Below are 18,360 nucleotides of genomic sequence, written 5' to 3'. Positions count from 1 at the left end.
TTAACTGATTGGAGAAGACTGGGAGATTAGGAGGTTAGGAGGGCAGGCCTCTTGAGATCACTAAATCTGTTTTCTAGTTGCAAAATGGCAGTGATGATACCTATTTTACAGGATCAATGTTGTAAGAATTAAAACAAATGAAGTCACTGGCTTCATAAAGTGTCTGGCACACAGTAAGGGCTCAGTAATTGTCAGTTACCTTTTCTGTATAAAATAACAATTCTCGATAGTTTCCAAAAAGATGGGAATATAGGACCCATTTTTCTTGACTCCAGACTTCAAAATGTAGTATTTAAAAGAACTACCATTTCATATGTTTTATACAGGACTGGCTATTTTATGCCTTGTATTGGATGTGCTTGCAGCCAGGAAATGTTCTGTTGAGGCAATGACTCCTGGAAGAAAACATGAACGGAGTCATGAGTGTGGCAGGTGATATCCTACATTATGGAACCCAGTGGGGCAGAATGTGAGTTGTTTTCTGTAGACCTGCAAGGATATTCCCTTCTAAAGACATGCTTGTGATGGTTGAATTAGACTGTATTGTGATGCCCAAAGGCCCTAATTCAACCTTAAATTACAGTAAGACACTCATGTCACCTTATTAGATGGTTCTGAGGCTTGGGCCTGCAACAGAATCATTTCTTCAGTATTTTCTGTGTGCCATTTTTTTTTTCTTTTTTGAGACGGAATCTTGCTCTGTCCCCCAGGCTGGAGTGCAGTGGCGTGATCTCGGCTCACTGCAAGCTCTGCCTCCCGGGTTCATGCCATTCTCCTGCCTCAGCCTCCTGAGTAGCTGGGACTACAGGTGCCTGCCACCATGCCAGGCTAATTTTTTGTATTTCTAGTAGAGATGGGGTTTCACCGTGTTAGCCAGGATGGTCTCGATCTTCTGACCTCATGATCCACCCGCCTCGGCCTCCCAAAGTGCTGGGATTACAGGCGTGAGCCACCACGCCCGGCCCTGTGTGCCATATTTAACAGAAGATAGTAAGACAAGCTGATCACAGCTGACATCCTGGATACTCACCATCTTCTTGCTTCACAGCCAAACTAACTGAAAGCAAGTAGTTTTACTTAGGACCACAAATTGCCTCCACCTTTCAATCCCATAAAGCAATTTTAAATGTGGTGACAGCAAGCTGTGAGAGCTGAAGAAATTTTATAGAGGCTTGCTATAGAATTTCAGGCATTGTAGCCTGGTTATAAATAGCTGAGAGACAGTTTCTACCATTAGATCACTTTAACATCCAGCAATTGATCTGTATCTTTCAGTACTTGAAGTGAAAGAGGGAGAACCACAAATTGTGATGCGGCATCTAAGAATAGTTAATTAGTGCATGGATTATGTTTTCAAACTGGAAAACAGTGGGCAATGCTCAGAAGTTAAGAGGTGAAATATGGAGGCATTAATTCATTTCTCTGACTATAACTTATGAGTACTTAATGTGTGCTCTGCACTGTTTTAGGAGCTGGGGAAACATCAGTAAACAAAACAAGTTTGTGCCACCACAAAGCTTATCTTCTAGTGCAAGATACAAATAATAAAAAGTTAACAAATGTGTAATATAATGTAAGGTAATAATAAATGCTTTAAGAAAAAATATGCAGGATGAAGGGATAGAATGATAGGTGTTCTAATGTAGATGAAATAGAGACTGCTTCTTTGACAGGTGACAGACAGTTGAGCAGAGACCTGACTGAAGCGATAGAGCCACTTATTGGAATACTGGGAGGAGAAATCTGTTCAGCAGAGGAAACTGCATAGACAAAAACCCCTAAATTGGGAAAAAGCATGGCTTTTTCAAGTAGCAGCAAGGAGGGCAGTGTAGAGTGGGATGAACAGGACATGCAGTTGGAAAGTAGAGCCAAGGATCATATTAAGATGGGCTTGTAAACTAAGGTAACAGGTTTGGATTTTATTTTGAATGTGATAAAAAGCCACTGGAGGCTTTAAACACAGAAATAATTAAATGTAGCATTTTTTGGGCTATAACAGACGAGTGGAAGCAAAGTATTTGTTATGAGGCAGTTGTAGTAGTTAGCAAAGTGAAGGTTTATGAAGAAAAGGATCAAAGTAGTAGCTGTGTAGTTGGTGAGAAGTGATGGGATTTGGAATGTATTTTGAAGGTAAATTCAGAATTTGCTAATGGTTTGGGTATGGAATATGAAAGACATCTAAAGAGACTACAGGTTTTGGGTCTAAGCCATTGGGCCAATAGTGATGCCATTAAATTACATATCTACAGATTTAAGAAGAGATGGCAGGAGGTAAACTGGAGGGAAGGCAGAATGACAGCCAAATAACTCTTATCAGGGCTGGACTGAAAGCAGGAAGTGGGTGAAGGTAGTCTGATGGGTTGGCTATGGAGTAAGTACATTAACCCGGTTTCATCATTTGCCTACATTTTTTCACATATCAATGTCTAATTACTGATGTTTCAGTAAGATGTGAACTCGCCGATGTTTTGCTTTCACAGTGGTTCTTCCAGTATCTTTTCATTATAATCTTAGCGGTTGTGTTAATCCATTAACTGCCTACAAAAAGTGGTTAATTGTTGCCATGTCTGGAAACTATGTTGAAGAAGCAGTTGGTTTCTTGGTTCCCTCTGCACTGGAGTGTGATCTGTGGTGACTTTTATGGATTGGGAAGAAAAGTGAAATAAATCATATGATAAATGAGCATTGGACTGGGAGTTAGGCCTACTGAGTTTCAGACAATCCCAACTCTATTAACTGTGTGACCTGGGATAGGACATCGAAACTCTAAGGGCCTTGGTTTTCTCATCTACCTAGTTAGTGGCTTAGATAATCTATATAATAGAATAATCCTTAGTACACTAAACTCTAGCCTGTAGTAAGACTGCACATTCTAATCTAAAATATTTATTTATAATAGTCAGTGTATTTGTAGGATGGCAATGGCTGAAAATAATAGTAGAAAACACACATGGAAAGCAGCTTTAAAAGTGAGGATAATTTATTATAACATAAAAAAAGATTCTGAGTTAAGGTGGCTCCAGATTTGATTAATATTTATTACCTTATAGGATTATTATGAAGCTTATCCTATGAGGTAATAAAGTTATCTCCACTTTACAGATGTGTTAACTGACAAGCAAAAAGTTTAATTCATTTTTTCGGTCACGAAGCGAGTAAGAAGTACAGCAAGGTTTTATTTACATAGGCTGCCTAACTCCTAATCACGCTTTTAATTGCTAGGCTCTACCGCCTTTTTTGGCCACTAAATCAGGACACTTTTAATGACCTTGTTTTCTTTGTCTCCTGATATCAAGATAAGTGGGAAACCATTTATATACTTGAAAAATAATAATCACCAGATTAACTACCCAGTACCGGTGAGAGCTGATTCATGGTCTTACAAGAGAAAGGTTGCTATTTTTAACATGCAGTGATAGCCTTTGACCACTAGAGGACACTTTGTAGACAACATCTTTTAGGACACAGCGACTGCCTTCACTAGCCTTAGCTCTTCAGTCAGTACCATGTTTTATGCCTCAGAAAAGAGGGTCCTCTGGCTACTGCTGAAAGTCTGCGTCATAAGCTCCTCGTGGCCATTTGGGGGTTCTAGCTTTGTCTCAGAGTGGCTCCCACGTTGGAGCTATCTTCCAAATTCTGTAAGTAATATAGGCTAGGTATTATACTTTCTACTTATGCTAAATGTACTCAGCTCTCCATTGGCACATCTGTTTCAGGTAAACACCTATGTTTAAATTAAATTTAATTAAATTATTATTTTTATGCAATATTCCTATGATCCTGCTCTTGAGTTATCATAATCATTTAACTATTAGAAAAAAATTCTAGGATTGGCTAATGTTTTTTGTAAGTCTAGGCTTGTCCATGTTGATATCACCTGATAAACATTTTTTTGGGTGAGGGTACAGGGTCTTGCTCTGTCATCCAGACTGGAGTGCAGTGGCATGATCACAGCTCACTGCAGCCTTGACCTCTCTGGCTCAGGTCATCCTCCCACCTCAGCTCCCTAAGTAGCTGGGACTACAGGTGCATGCCACCATGCCCGGCTAATTAAAAAAAAAATATTTTTTGTAGAGACAGGGTCTCACTATGTTTCTCACTATGGGTCAAACTCCTGGGCTTATGCAATCCTCCCGCCTTGGCCTCCCAAAGTGCTGAGATTATAGGCATGAGCCACCGTGCCTGGCCAAGTCGGTACACTTTCTAAAAGCAGATCTTTCTCTCTCTCTCTCTCTTTTTTTTCAATGAAGTCTCCAACATATATGGGTACTTACAATGCCACCCAGTGATGAAGTTGATTAATATTTGTAGTTGTAATTAAACTAGACAAATCAGAAACACAAAGTTTTTTCCAAATAATAGACTTAAGTCCATTTCTAGGTTCACAAATATACTTGTCATATTAATAGGGTAGTAGTGAAAGACAGAGTGACCATAAAACTCTTGGTGGTGCCTTCCAGTTCATCGAGATGTGTGGTTCCCTGAGGGTTTCAGGTATTTATACTAGTACTAACCTTAGTTTTTAAAATAATTTATCTAATTTTAAGCTCCTATTGTTAAACATTTTTGAAATCATAGTTTCGTATATAGAGTTCTTGAAGAATGGTATCTATGAAATAATTGAGATAACTTGTGATAATAATACCACAGTTTTTAATATATTTATAATTTATAACATCTACAGAAACCTATTGCAGTAGTTTTTACTATTTATTTATTTATTTTAAATCTTGAGACAGAGTCTCACTCTGTCACCCAGGCTGGAGTGCAGTGGCATGATTTTGGCTCATAGCAACCTCTGCCTCCCGGGCTCAAGCGATCCTCCCACCTCAGTCTCCTGAGTAGCTGAGACTACAGGCTCATGGCACCATGCCCCATTAATTTTTGTAGAGACAGGTTCTCACTATGTTGCCCAGGCTGGTCTCGAACTCCTGTGCTCAAGTGATCCACCTGCTTTGGCCTCCCAAAGTGCTGGGATCACAGGTGTGAGCAACTACACCTGGCCTGCAGTAGATCCCTTTTTCATTTAAATTCAGGCATTAAATGGGATATTATTATAACTTAATTCTTAAGTCTCTCTTTTTTTTTTTAAGAGAAGCCCAAACCTTCGATTATACCTATTTATGACCTCTTATTAATGACTTTGCAAGTCACCTTGTGTCTTCCTTCCACCAGATTCTTTCCTTAATGATTGTTGGTTTAAAGTAAACATGAGCATTTGGGGAAGCTTCCTGTTGTAAATCCTTCACTTTTGCAGTTGTTCAGTAGGACAGTAGGCTTGCTATTGGTGGAAGAGCACACCTAGGCACAATGTAGGGTAATGTAATGTCGCCCACAGTGAGGCACAGGAGCATAAAGGGATGGAAAATGATTCTTCAGTCTGTTTGACAGGCTTTTAGGCTTTAAAAAGCATTAAATCAGACAGTGGGTAAATCATTCTTTTGAATATATATAAAGAAGTTTGCTGCACATTTTAGAGTCAAACCATTATAGAAGTGAGGGCATGAAACGGCAAGTATAGTGATTTTCTGCTTTGTTCACAGAGGTATACTGCTTGCATCCACCCAAAAGAAGAAATGAATTTATCATTCCATGCAATAAACTGCAAACTCTTTATAGAGTGGAATTAATTATAAAGTGACTTAATTAAAATGCCACATTGATATGGTTTGGCTGTGTCTCCACCCAAATCTCATCTTGAATTGTAACTTCCACAATTCCCACGTGTCATGGGAGGAACCTGGTGGGAGGTGATTGAATTATAGGGGTGGGTCTTTCCTGTGCTGTTCTCATGATAGTGAATGAGTCTCACAAGATTGGATGGTTTTAAATATGGGAGTTTCCCTGCACAAGCTCTCTCTTAGCCTGCCACCATCCATGTAAGACATGACTTGCTTCTCCTTGCCTTTCACCATGATTGTGTGGCCTCCCCAGCCATGTGGAACTGTAAGTCCATTAAACCTCTTTCTTTTGTAAATTGCCCAGTCTCTGGTATGTCTTTATCAGCAGCATGAGAACAGACGAATACAGCCATTAAGTAGGGTGTTAAGACCATCCGATGGGAAAAGGTCAGTTTTATTAACAAAAGTGTTGAAAAAATTGGGTATCTACATGAAAAATAATAAACATGGACTTTTACCTTACACTATATATATAAAAATTAACTCGAAATGGATCAGAGACTAAACATAACAGCTAAAACTATGAAATTCTTAGAAAAAAAATAGAGAAATATTTATGATATTGGGTTTGGCAATTATTTATTGGATATGACACTAAAGTCACAGGCAATAAAAGAAAAAATTAGTTGGATTTTATTAAAATAAGAAACTTTTGAGCATCAAAGGACACTATCAATGGAGTGAAAAGTCAACCCAAAGAATAGGAGAAAATATTTACAAATCATCCATCTAATAAGGAATTAATATCCAGAATATATTAACTCCTTAAATTAACAACAGAAAAAAAAACAGGTTAAAAAATGGGAAAAGGACTTTGCTCCAAAGAAAATATACAAAGGGTCAATAAGTACATGAAAAGATGTTTAACATCACTGATCATTAGGTGAATGCAAGTCAAAACCACAGTAAGACATCATTTCATTTCCATTAGGATGGCTATTATAAAAAAACAAACAAACAAACAAATCACAGCACAAAAAAATGCATGATGAGAATATGGAGAAATTGGAATCATTGTGTATTGCTGATAGGAATGCTGAATGGCACAGTTGCTATTGAAAACAATATGAAAATTCTTCAAAAAATTAAACATATAATTACCATATGATCCTGAAATTTCACTTCTAGGAATTTACCCAAAAGAAATGAAAGCAGGGACTGGAATAGATATTTGTACTTGCATCTTCATAGCAGCATTATTAACAATAGCCAAAAGGTGGAAGCATCCCAAGTGTCCATTCATGGATAAATGGATAAAGAAATTGTGATATATACATCCAATAGAATATTATTCAGCCTTAAAAAGAAAGGCACTTCTGACAACACGCTACAACATGGATGGACCTTGAAGACATTGTGCTAACTGAAATAAGCCAGTCACAAAAGGACACATATTGTATGATCTACTTATGTGAGGGTACCTAGAGTAGTCAAATTCATAAAGACAGAAAGTAGAATAGTGGCTGTCAGGGGCTGAGGAGAGTAGGGAATGGGGAGTTAGTGCTTAATGGGTCCAAAATTTCAGCCTGGGAAGATGAAAAGTTCTGGAGATGATAGGTAGTGGTGATAGTTATACAATAATGTGAATGTCACTGAACTGTATGCTTAAAAATGGTTAAGATGGTAAATTTTGTGTTATGCATATTTTACTACAATAAAAACATTAAAAAATGCCATAAGTACATGTTTAGTGCCTGCTCCATTTTTAGTCCTGAGCTGGGGGTAAAAAGACATTTTCATAGGCCATGCAAGATCCAGCTCTGCCCTCAAGGAGCTTAGTGAAAGTTCCTATATCTGTGTCATAGTTGCTAAAGGTAATTCTGTCAACTTCATTTATGTCACAATCATTTACGGGGTGCTTGAGTGCCTGCTATGATCCAGGTGATATTTTGGCTGTGAGATAGTTTTGATTCTTGTGGGAGAAGAGAGAGAATCAACAAAATAAGAAAAATAGAGTATGTTGAGAGATAATTAGGGCCATGAAAAATAAAGAAAAGTAAAGCTGGAAAGGAGATTAAAGAGTGCTAGGGGTTGGAGTTGGGAACATTCAGTTCTAAATAAGAAGGCAAAAGAAAATCTTATTTAGAAAATAATATTTGAGGAAAGACATGGAGGAGCTGAGAAAGACAGACAGGAATATCTGAGAGAGGCTGAGCATGGTGGCTCACGCCTGTAATCCCAGCACTTTGGGGGGCCGAGGTGGGCTGATCACTTGAGGTCTGGAGTTCGAGACCAGCCTGGCCAACATGGTGAAACCCTGTCTCTAGTAAAAATACGAAATTTAGTTGAGCTTGATGGCGAGTGCCTGTAATCCCAGCTACTTGGGAGGCCAAGGCGGGAGGATCGCTTGAGGCCAGGAGTTTCAGACCAGCCTGGCCAACATGATGAAACCTCGTCTCTACTAAAAACACAAAAAGTAGCAGGATGTGATGGCCCCACCTGTAGTCCCAGATACTCGGGAGGCTCAGGTAGGAAAATCTCTTGAACCTGGGAGGTAGGGGTTGCAGTGAGCTGAGATGGCACCACTGCACTCCATCATGGGCAACAGAGTGAGACTCCATCTCAAAAAAAAGAGAAAAGAAAAGAAATATCTGAGAGAAAAATATTTTAGACAGATGGACCCCTAAATGGCAAAGGTCTCAAGGCGTAAAGGGTAAAGGAACCTGAAGTACACGGGCGGGCTGCAGTGAGGTAGGGGAAAGTGGAGTGCAGAGGATGAAGTGTCAGGGAGGTATTGCGCAGGGGGTGAAGAATAGACTGTAGAGTCCTGAGCGGGGGCTATAAGGTCTTTGGTTTTTTAGTCTGTGGGAAGAAAGGCAGCTACTGGACTGAAGTGTTTAACGAAATAACTGATATCATCTGACTTATGTTTCAGTAGGATCCCTCCAGCTGTTAGATTGAAAATAAACTGTAGATGGGTATAGTAATTTCCTGTTGCTGATGTAATAAATTACAACAAATTTACTAGTTTAAAACAATACAGGGAGGCTGAGGCAGGAGAATGGTGTGAACCCGGGAAGCGGAGCTTGCAGTGAGCCGAGATTGCGCCACTGCAGTCCGCAGTCTGGCCTGGGTGACAGAGCGAGACTCCGTCTCAAAAAAAAAAAAAAAAAAAAAAAAAACACAAAAAAACAATACAAATTTATGATCTTAAAGTTCGTAGGTCAGAAGTTTTTATGGGCTAAAATCAAGGTGTCTGCCGATTGCATTTCTTCTGGAGGCTCTAAGGGATAATATCATTTAGTGTCTTGTATTTTCCAGCTTCCAAGGGCCATCTATATTTCTTGGCGTCTGGCTTCTTTCTCCATCTTCAAATCTCTCTCTCTCTCTGTCTCTGTCTGTCTGTCTCTCTCTGTCTCTCTCTCTCTCTCACACACACACACACACACACACACACACACACACACACACACACTCTGTCTCTCTCTCTCTCTTACAAAGGCTCTCATAATTACATTAGACCTACCAGGATGATCCAGGATAATCTTCCTATTTCAAGGTTCTTGACTCAATCACATCTGCAAAGTCCCTTTTGCCATGTAATATAACATATTCGTAGGTTTCAGGGATTAGGACATAAACATCTTTGGGGAGCATTATTTTGCCTACCACAGTCTACCCTCAGGCTCCCAAAGTTTCACATCTGTCCCACATTCAAAATGCATTCAGCTGGCTCCAATATCCCTAAACATCTCAACCCATTTCAGCAGCAATTTGAAGTTTAAATAAATTCATCAACTCAAAATCCCCCAATCTCATAATATAATCAGCTATGGGTGAGGCTCTAATCCATCCTGAGGTATAATTACTCTTCATCTGTTAATCTGTAAAACTTAAGAAGCAAGTTAGTTTCTCCCAAAATACAATGGTGATGGTATAGGCATAGGATAAAAGTTATAGAAGTTCCCATTTGAAAAGAGAAAATGTAGAAGAAAAAGGAGTCACCAGTTCCAAGAAAAATTGAAATCCAGGTGGGCAAACATTATGCTTTTTGGACCTGAGGATGATACTCTGTAGTTTTTGGCTCCACCCTCTGGGCTTGTGGCTCCATCTTCAAGGTCATCCTTAATTTTTCAGGAAGGGTAGCATGAGCACAAAACTGGGTAGTTTGATCAGTTTGTTTTCTGCCTGTAGAATTTTGGGAGTCAGCAGTGTTCTTTTATTTGTTGTTGCTCTGTTTGTTATTGTCCAAACTGGTCCGAATTGGTTCTGCTGGTGTAAAATTCTCAATGGATTTACTCCATTAGACAAGAGGCTTTCCACAGGGTTTTCCTAAATAACCCCATCCCAATTTTTGGTTTTTGCTTAGATGGTTGGGAGAATCTGAGTCACAGCTTAATCTTTTCAAAGAGACTTCTGTGTGACTAAATACACCACCTTTTGACCCTTCCAAGGCAATAGAAATATATGTTCTATACATATTAATACTTACTTGAGGGATGATTAATATACAATAAAATTAATAATTTTTAAGTGAACAACCTAATGGATTTTAACATGTGTATGCATCCTTGTAACCATCACCCAGATCAAATAATAGAACATTTTAATTCTCCCCAAATTCCTTTGTGTGTTTTTAGCCAATACCCTCAGTGACTCCCCAGAGAAAATGATTATTCTGATATCTATCACCACAGATTGGGTTGGCCAGTTCTTGAAACTCACATAAATGGAATTACACTATGTATAATCTTTTGCCTCTGGCTTCTTTGACTCAAAGTATTTTGGACACTTTTACAAGTATCTGTGTGTGTGTATGTGTGTGTGCACCCTTTTTCATTGACAAACAGTATTCCATTGCCTATATTTTGAAGGTGGAGCCTTTGAAAGAGTTTCTAATGCATTGTATATAGGATGTTTCTAACACATTGCAATAGGATGTGATAGAAAGAGAATTAAAGATTATGCTGAGATTTTTGGCCTGAATAGCTAGAAGTTACCATTAATTGAGCTGGGGAAGACTATGAGAGAAACAGCTTGTGGGAGAGAGGAGGAGGTTAAAATATAAGGACCTTAATTTTAGACATGTAAATCTTGAGATGTAGATTAGATATCCAAATGGAGATATTGAGTAAGTAGTTAGATATATGAGTGTGGAGGTTAGGAGAGGTGTCCAGACTAAATTTGGGCATTGTCAGCATTTTGATGGTCTTTAAAGTAATGAAAGTTGAGGTGATGGAGCATACATAGAAGTCCAAAGACAGAGCCCGGCAACACTTTAATGAAGTGCTGAGAGATCAGGAAGTTGAGCAGGAAACAGCAAAACAGACTAAGGAGCAATTGTTAAGTAGGAGGAAAACCAGTTGTATATGCTATTCTGGAAACCATACTAAAGTTATATGTAACATTATGATAATGCTAAATATTTATTATTTATTTTAATATGAAAATAATTTTTGTGGCTCTTTAAAAAGATTATGAACAGCTTCCATAATATTTTCCAGGAATATAAGTAGTGAACTGTTGGCTATTACAAAAGTGGTCACAAATTGTATCACTAATAATTTTGAAATGACCGAAGATCTAGTACTCAATATTCTTTTATGATAACTGCTTATTTTGGACTTAAATTTAGTGTTTTGGGATTTGTTAGTCCTCAAAACAGAGCTTCTCTCATAAGAAAATTGGCCATGTAAGCTTCACAGGAAACAGATTATAAAACTAGAGACCCAAGAAAAATATCTCGAATCCATACAGCATCGAATAGGGGTTTTTAAAAAGTCTTGTAATTCCACACAAACCACCAGGTCACATCTACTTTTAGAGAGAGTAAGACATTTCTCTTCAGTTATCATCTAAAAATTAGGCTTTAACAGGAATAAACTCAAAAGATGCACTGAATAAGCCAGGACTAGTCTAATTTCCACCCAAATATCCTCTAACAGTCAGCTAAGTGACACCACAGTTGTTCTGACTTTCAAGTAGTGATTGTCAACCCTGCTCATATCCTGCATTTGTTTGCTGGCTTTGGTTTTCTAATGAGAAAAAATGACTCCTGGAACTAAACTGCTACCATGAAAACTGTTTTTGATGTGACTATAAGCAAATTGCAACCATAGACCCTTGTATTACTTGTGATATGTTTATGGAACTTCTGATGCTAATGATGAGAATACCATGTGTGCTAGTCTGATAGTATAAAACTGGAAATATCCCGTAAATGGAAAATAATACACCATGTCATACACTTCATCTTAAATGTTTTTTAGATTTCCCTGAGTTATTTAATATAATAGTGCTGTGTGACCCCCATGCATTCAGAGAGGAAATGATATAGGAAAGGACTCTCAGCAGATTGACTGATGAGTTGTTAATGATGGTAGTTTAACCTGCTCTAATGGAAGATTTGTCAACAGCATCTCAAATGGCTGATCACATGGTATTATGGTTTTAGTTACAGTTCCTGGTTGGGTTGGTTGGCAAATGCTTGTTATTTTAAATTAACTTTTGGAGGTGGGTCAAATAGGGCACTAAATTTACTGGAAGAGCTTTCCCTCCTATTTTTGAATATGATTAGAAGCCACCTTTTAATTTATTGAGGAGATTGAAGTTGTGGCCAAATAATCAAAGATTTGAGCAGTAAACTAAGCGGCATCAAATTCAGGTATGATTTTAGGTGTCTTATTGTTTTATAAATTTTTCCCTTAGTTTTCTCTCTCTCTCTCTGTGTGTGTGTGTGTGTGTCTGTGTCTGTGTGTGTGTGTGTTTCCTGAAGAGTAGCTCTACAGATGTGGAGAGGTATTCTCTTTCATGCAAATTTTAAATATCAAATAAAGAATTAACAACTTTTTTTACTCTGGAGATGTGAGAAATCAAAATGCATTAGAAAATACCCAGTATGAGTGCTGATTAGATGAACTGATATTATGGTGTAGGTTTTGTATTTTTTTAGTTTAAGGTGCCTGGCCCAGTGTGGAGGATCAAAAATATTTATTGAATTTAATTGGAGAATTGAACTGGGCTGGTCTAGAAATCTGACCATCATTAATTAATTTCTTTTTGCTACTTTGTTTATTAATTAGTTAATCTACACATTTGTTTTATAGTTAATGCCTGCTAGCAATAGAGTGTGCTACGTCTTCTAGGAAATATAAATAATATAACCTGAGACTTGATTTAAAAGGTTTTACAAATTCAAGTGGGAGGTGACATATATGCAAAGAACCAGGAAATATAGTAGAAAATTATAGCAATGGAAAAATATATTCCGAGTTCCAACTTACCAGTTTATAGACTTTTGGAACCTAAAACTATGGTAAGCTCAAGGTCTCCTGTGAACATTTATTTATTTTTGCCTATTTACCTATTATAAGCTCTTTGATAGTGATATAATAGGAATTTTTATGTAATGAGATAACTTATTTTTAAATTTCACTCCTATGATACAGAGGCTATAGTTTCTATAGTGAAATCGACATGAAATTGAGTGAAATTGACATGAAACCCATAAGAGGTTGGTCAATGTTGTCTATTGCTTTGTAGTTACCGAGGGTCTCTGAATTAGCTCTGTCTACTTTCTCCTACAGGTAATTTATATTTTAAACCGTTTTTAATATTGAACATGTAAAGCATGGTAATATGGTTTTATTGTTTTTTATTTTAGAATTTTTCTTAAATTTTATGCTGTAAATGCAACTTTTCAAAATTAAAATGTACAAATAAACAGGTGGTTGTTACTGTCATCCTAACTGCCTTTGCAGAATGTTCCTAAGGTTTTGATATAACAAAATCATAAAAGCAATACAAGTTCATATTTTATTGTAAAACATCCAATTTTGCTACAAAATATAAAAAGGACCTTATAATAAATATGGCATATGCATATTTCTATTAATGTTCAACCTTCACTATATTGAACTTTTAAAACCTGTTACTCAGATGATTTAATTCTATCAACCAGACAGCATTACGAATATTCTCTCCCCTATTCTGGATTTTCTCCCATTTTTTACTTAAGAGAAGCTTATACACTGAAACTATAGTCTCATGTTTTTCTCCTTATTTAGTCTATTATGTAAATTAGAACTCAAATGACCTGTTAATCTTAGGTTTGACATTTACAAAAAACAAAGGTTATATTCAAAACACTTAATAATTGGGAATTTGTGGTCACCAGCCAAGCTGTCCTCAAGTCCTCCTGCTAGTTGCATGTTAGCCTTTCAGTTGCTGGATCATGGAATGGGCAATGGGTTCCAGGGGAGAAGCTGGAAAAATGGTCCTTGGGGCACTGGCAGTAACTATTTACCAGCTTGTATGGAAGGATCTTAACATCTTGACATCTCATAACAATGTATCACTGTATACCCACTGAATATAGTCCTGTCTATGAATTTAATTTCTCTTTCCTCATCTGTACAATGAGTAAAAAATAATAGTCATTATAAGCTCCACCTGGCTCGTAGAGTTCTTGAAGAGACTCAAAGAAAAAGTTTGTGAAACAATAACATGATAGTCTTGTTAGGCATTGTTGTAAATTTTGTCATGATCAGATCATATAATTCTCACAAAACCTTTTTTTTTTTTTTTTTTTTGAGACAGAGTTTCACTCTGTCGTCCGGGTTGGAGTGCAGTGGCGCAATGTCGGCTCACTGCAACCTCCACCTACTGGGTTCAAGCGATTCTCCTGCTTCAGCCTCCTGAATGGCTGGGACTACAGGCGCACGCCACCACGCCTGGCTAATTATTTGTATTTTTAGTAGAAACTGGGTTTCACCGTGTTAGCCAGGCTGGTCTCAATCTCCTGACCTCATGATACACCTGCCTTAGCCTCCCAAAGTGCTGGGATTACAGGTGTGAGCCACTGTGCCAGGCCTCTTACAAAACCTTTTAAGATAAGTGTTATTATTCCCATTACAACAACCCTATGAGCCAACATTTATATACTGCACATTTTACTGAAGCAGAAAGTGAACTCAGTGAGATCTGATAATTTGCTTACAATTGCTTAGCTAGTTTGTTCTTAAGTAGAGATAGAATTGAAACACTGATGTTTCCTTAATATATGAATGTGAAAACTTAATCTGTAATAGTAAAAACCAGCTACATTTGTTACTTCATAAGCAGTGGTACAGAACCTGTATATCCATAGTTCAAACCATAAATTATTTTAATCCCTTGTCAGATGGCTACTAATAGTACTGTTACACTCTATTCCCTGGGCCAAAATTTGGCAAAGAGAAATGAGAAAACCGGGAGGTAAAAGCACAATTAAAACTATTTTAAGTTGGAAAAATATGTTCAGACTTTAAGTTTAGTTTGGAGCTTAGTATTACATTGGCAAGAAATTCTGTCTCTCAAAATGAGGTTTTCAATTTCTTTATTAATAAACACACCATTAAACATCGTATTGCCTCAGTGGTAGATATGGTAAAAATGTTCAAACATCATACTTAATGGAGAAACCTTAGAAGTCTTCCCTTTAATGTCAATAACAAAAAAGAATGCCTGCTATGATCCCTTCTTTTCTACAAAGGACTAGGTGTCCTGGCCAATGAAATATGAGAAGTAAAAGAAATAAGGGATAAAGCTATAAGGAAGGAGACAAAACTGTCAGTACGCGTAGATGATTTAAGTACATAGAAAACTCAAGAGAATCAACAGACAAATGACTAAAGCTAAAAAGAGAGTTCAGTTTGCTTGCTGAGCACAAATCAGTACGTAATGATAAATAGACTTATTTTACACCAACAGCCGTTAAAAAATATAATAGACGATAAGATACTGTTTACAATAGCATATATATATATATATATATATATATATATATATAAACTGACCTAAAATGCAAAAATTATTTTGGAAGACATTTTAAAGCATTATTAAGGGACATTAAAAAAAGAACTGATTAGGTAGAAATACCAGATTTGTGGAAGGAAGATTTAACATAAAGATATAAATTCTTCCTAAATTAAAATATAAATTTAATGTAACTAAAATAAAAAATCCAATAGAGGTGAATTGGTCACACGCAAATCCACAAATAGCTAAAACAGTTCATAAAAAGAAGAGAGAGGTTGGGAAATATCTTACTAGATATTAAGGTATATTACTAAGCTCTAGTAATTCAGTGTGATACTGACACTAAAAATGCCAAATAGACAATAGAATAGAATCTAAAATAAAATAGGATCTAAAACAAATCCATGTGTATATAAGAACTTGGTAAGTAGATCATTGAGAAAATGGTAGATTATTTAAAAAACATTATTGTGAAAATTGGCTAAACACTTGGAGAAAATACAGGCCCCAAATTCATACCACATATAAAAATGATCCCCCATTGTAATGAAGATCTCAAAATAAAAGACAAAACTATAAAGCTATGATAAAAAATGTTAGAGAATGTCTTTGTAACAATACAGTGGGAGAGCATTTCTCAAATGAGGTAAAGCCCAGGGCATACAAAAAAAATTGGTGAAATTGAAGTCAAAAGTAAGGACTTCTGTTTTGTGTAGGACACTATAGACAGACTGGGAGAAGATATTTGGGGTGTGAACAATTAATAAAAGATTAAAATATAAAGAAATCCTACAAACCCACAATTAAAAATCCCAGGCAATCACATAGAAGAATGAGCAAAGAATATAAAGAGACAATTCAAAGAAGGAGAAAACTAAAATGACTAAAAGGCATAATGAAAAGAATCTCAATTCAGATAATTGCAAACTAAAACTTTAACAAGAATGGCTAAATTAAAAAGTTGGATAATATCAAGTATTGTCAAGTCTGTGGGAAGCAGCAACTCTTCATCTACTGGATGGAGTATAAACTGGTGGGTGCATCCATTCTGGAGACCAGTTGGCGAGTATGTGGGGAAACTGTATATGCACAAATGCATGGATCCAGCAGTTCTAAAGCGGGGCATATCCCCTAGAGAAAATATTGCACGGGGGAACAAGAAGACATAGATGAGAATAAACCTTTCTGTACTGTTTGTGATAGAATTTTCTAAACTTATTGACCATTAACTTCTTTTACTCTTATAACATCTAATTGGATTGGTATTCTGTGACACACATGTTGGGAAACAGTGATTTAAAAGAATAACTTTTAAATTTAAGGACATGGCTAGGTAGGATGCCAATGCATCCAAGTGCCTTCATGTATCACTATCAAAAGGAGCTTATTGGCATAATATGACCTATTTAGTATGAAATATTGTGCTCTTAATAAAAGTACTCAAGACTTGTGCTGCATTTAAACTATGGAAAGATATCAAACAAACTGAGACTTAAAAAAATAGAAATGGAGTGTTTGTGAAACCATTTTTGTATACGTCATTTAACATTGTGTTAAGCAGGATCTTAGTTAATATACCTCTACAAATCAAGATTATGCCCGGGCATGGTGGTACATGCCTGTAGTTCCAGCTACTTGGGAGGCTGAGGTAAGAGGATCACTTAAAGCCAGGAGTTTGAGACTAGCCTGGGCAACATGGTGAGATCCTGTATTAAAAAAAAAAAAAAGATGATGAACCAATTACTTATTAGTAGTATTTCTGGAAATGAGATTGCCTGTGATGTTTACTTTTTTCTTTACACTTTTCTGTATCATGTAATTATTTAAAAACTAGTCTTTATTAATTTTTTTTTTTTTAGACAGAGTTTCACTCTGTTGCATAGGCTGGAGTGCAGTGGTGAGATCTTGGCTCTCTGCAACCTCCACCTGCCGGGTTTAAGCGATTCTCCTGCCTCAGCCTCCCGAGTAGCTGGGACTTACAGGTGTGTGTCACCACACCCGGCTAATTTTTATTTTTTAGTAGGGATGGGGTTTCACCATGTTGGCCAGGCTGATCTCAAACTCCTGACCTCAGGTAATCCGTCCGCCTTGGCCTCCCAAAGTGCTGGGATTACAGGCGTGAGCCACCACACCTGGCCATATTTACTAATTTTTAATCAGAAACATAATAAAACTATTTTCCTTTTGAAAATAAATTAAATATGAATTTATCAATGTCAAGAATGAAATAGTAACTATTTTCATATTCCATATAAGTTGAGAAATGCATTACACTTTTAATTCTTTCTTCTCTTACTTTTTTTTGTCAAAAGAATCTGGAGTTTTAGTTCTGAAATATCGTTAACACATTTTGTTAGAATCCTATATCATATATTTTAAGACCTATGTTTTACATTTGAACAGTTTTATTGTAAAATTAATTACAATTAGGCAGCACATTGTTTTACTACATTAATTGCCGTTTGGGGATTTATTTCTAGTGTCTTTAAAAAACACCAATTTGTATTTTCTTTCATAGTTTTTTGAATTTACTGGACTCATTTGGGTAGTTCTCACTTGGAGTATCTCAGGTGTTCACTGTCAGATAAAGGCTGAGGCTGGAGTCATTGAAGGCTCCATTGGGCTAGAAGTCTGAGGTGCTCCATGCTCCTCTATGTGTCCTCTTCCTCAGAAGAACCACTTGCCCTTTCTTAAGCACAACTCACAGCTCCAACGGAAGCAAAACAGAAGCTACCTGGCCAATTAAGGGGTATGTCTAGTCTGAGCATAGCTTTATGTTTGCAGGGTGGCATTGGCCAAAGCAGTCACAGCTTCAACCCAGATTCAAGAGGATGGAATAGACTTTTCATGGAAGAGTAGCAAGGCTGCATGACTGAAGAGCTTGTGGGAGGGGAGGTAATGTTGCAGCTACATTTGGAAACCTGTCACAGTTGTTCCCTCA

General features: G+C 37.0%; 1 annotated feature.

Moving 5' to 3' along the window:
* Positions 3,324 to 3,618: a silencer, noted in NCBI's record as "tiled region #3574; HepG2 Repressive DNase matched - State 12:CtcfO". NCBI's record gives its function as "represses a minimal TATA promoter and a strong SV40 promoter by Sharpr-MPRA in HepG2 cells {active_cell/tissue: HepG2}" and the evidence as "EXISTENCE:reporter gene assay evidence [ECO:0000049][PMID:27701403]".

Source organism: Homo sapiens, chromosome 12, assembly GCF_000001405.40.
Source record: "Homo sapiens chromosome 12, GRCh38.p14 Primary Assembly".
Lineage (NCBI taxonomy): Eukaryota > Metazoa > Chordata > Mammalia > Primates > Hominidae > Homo > Homo sapiens.
The sequence above is the reverse complement of the archived record's forward strand: the minus strand, read 5'-3'. Positions and strand labels throughout refer to the sequence as shown.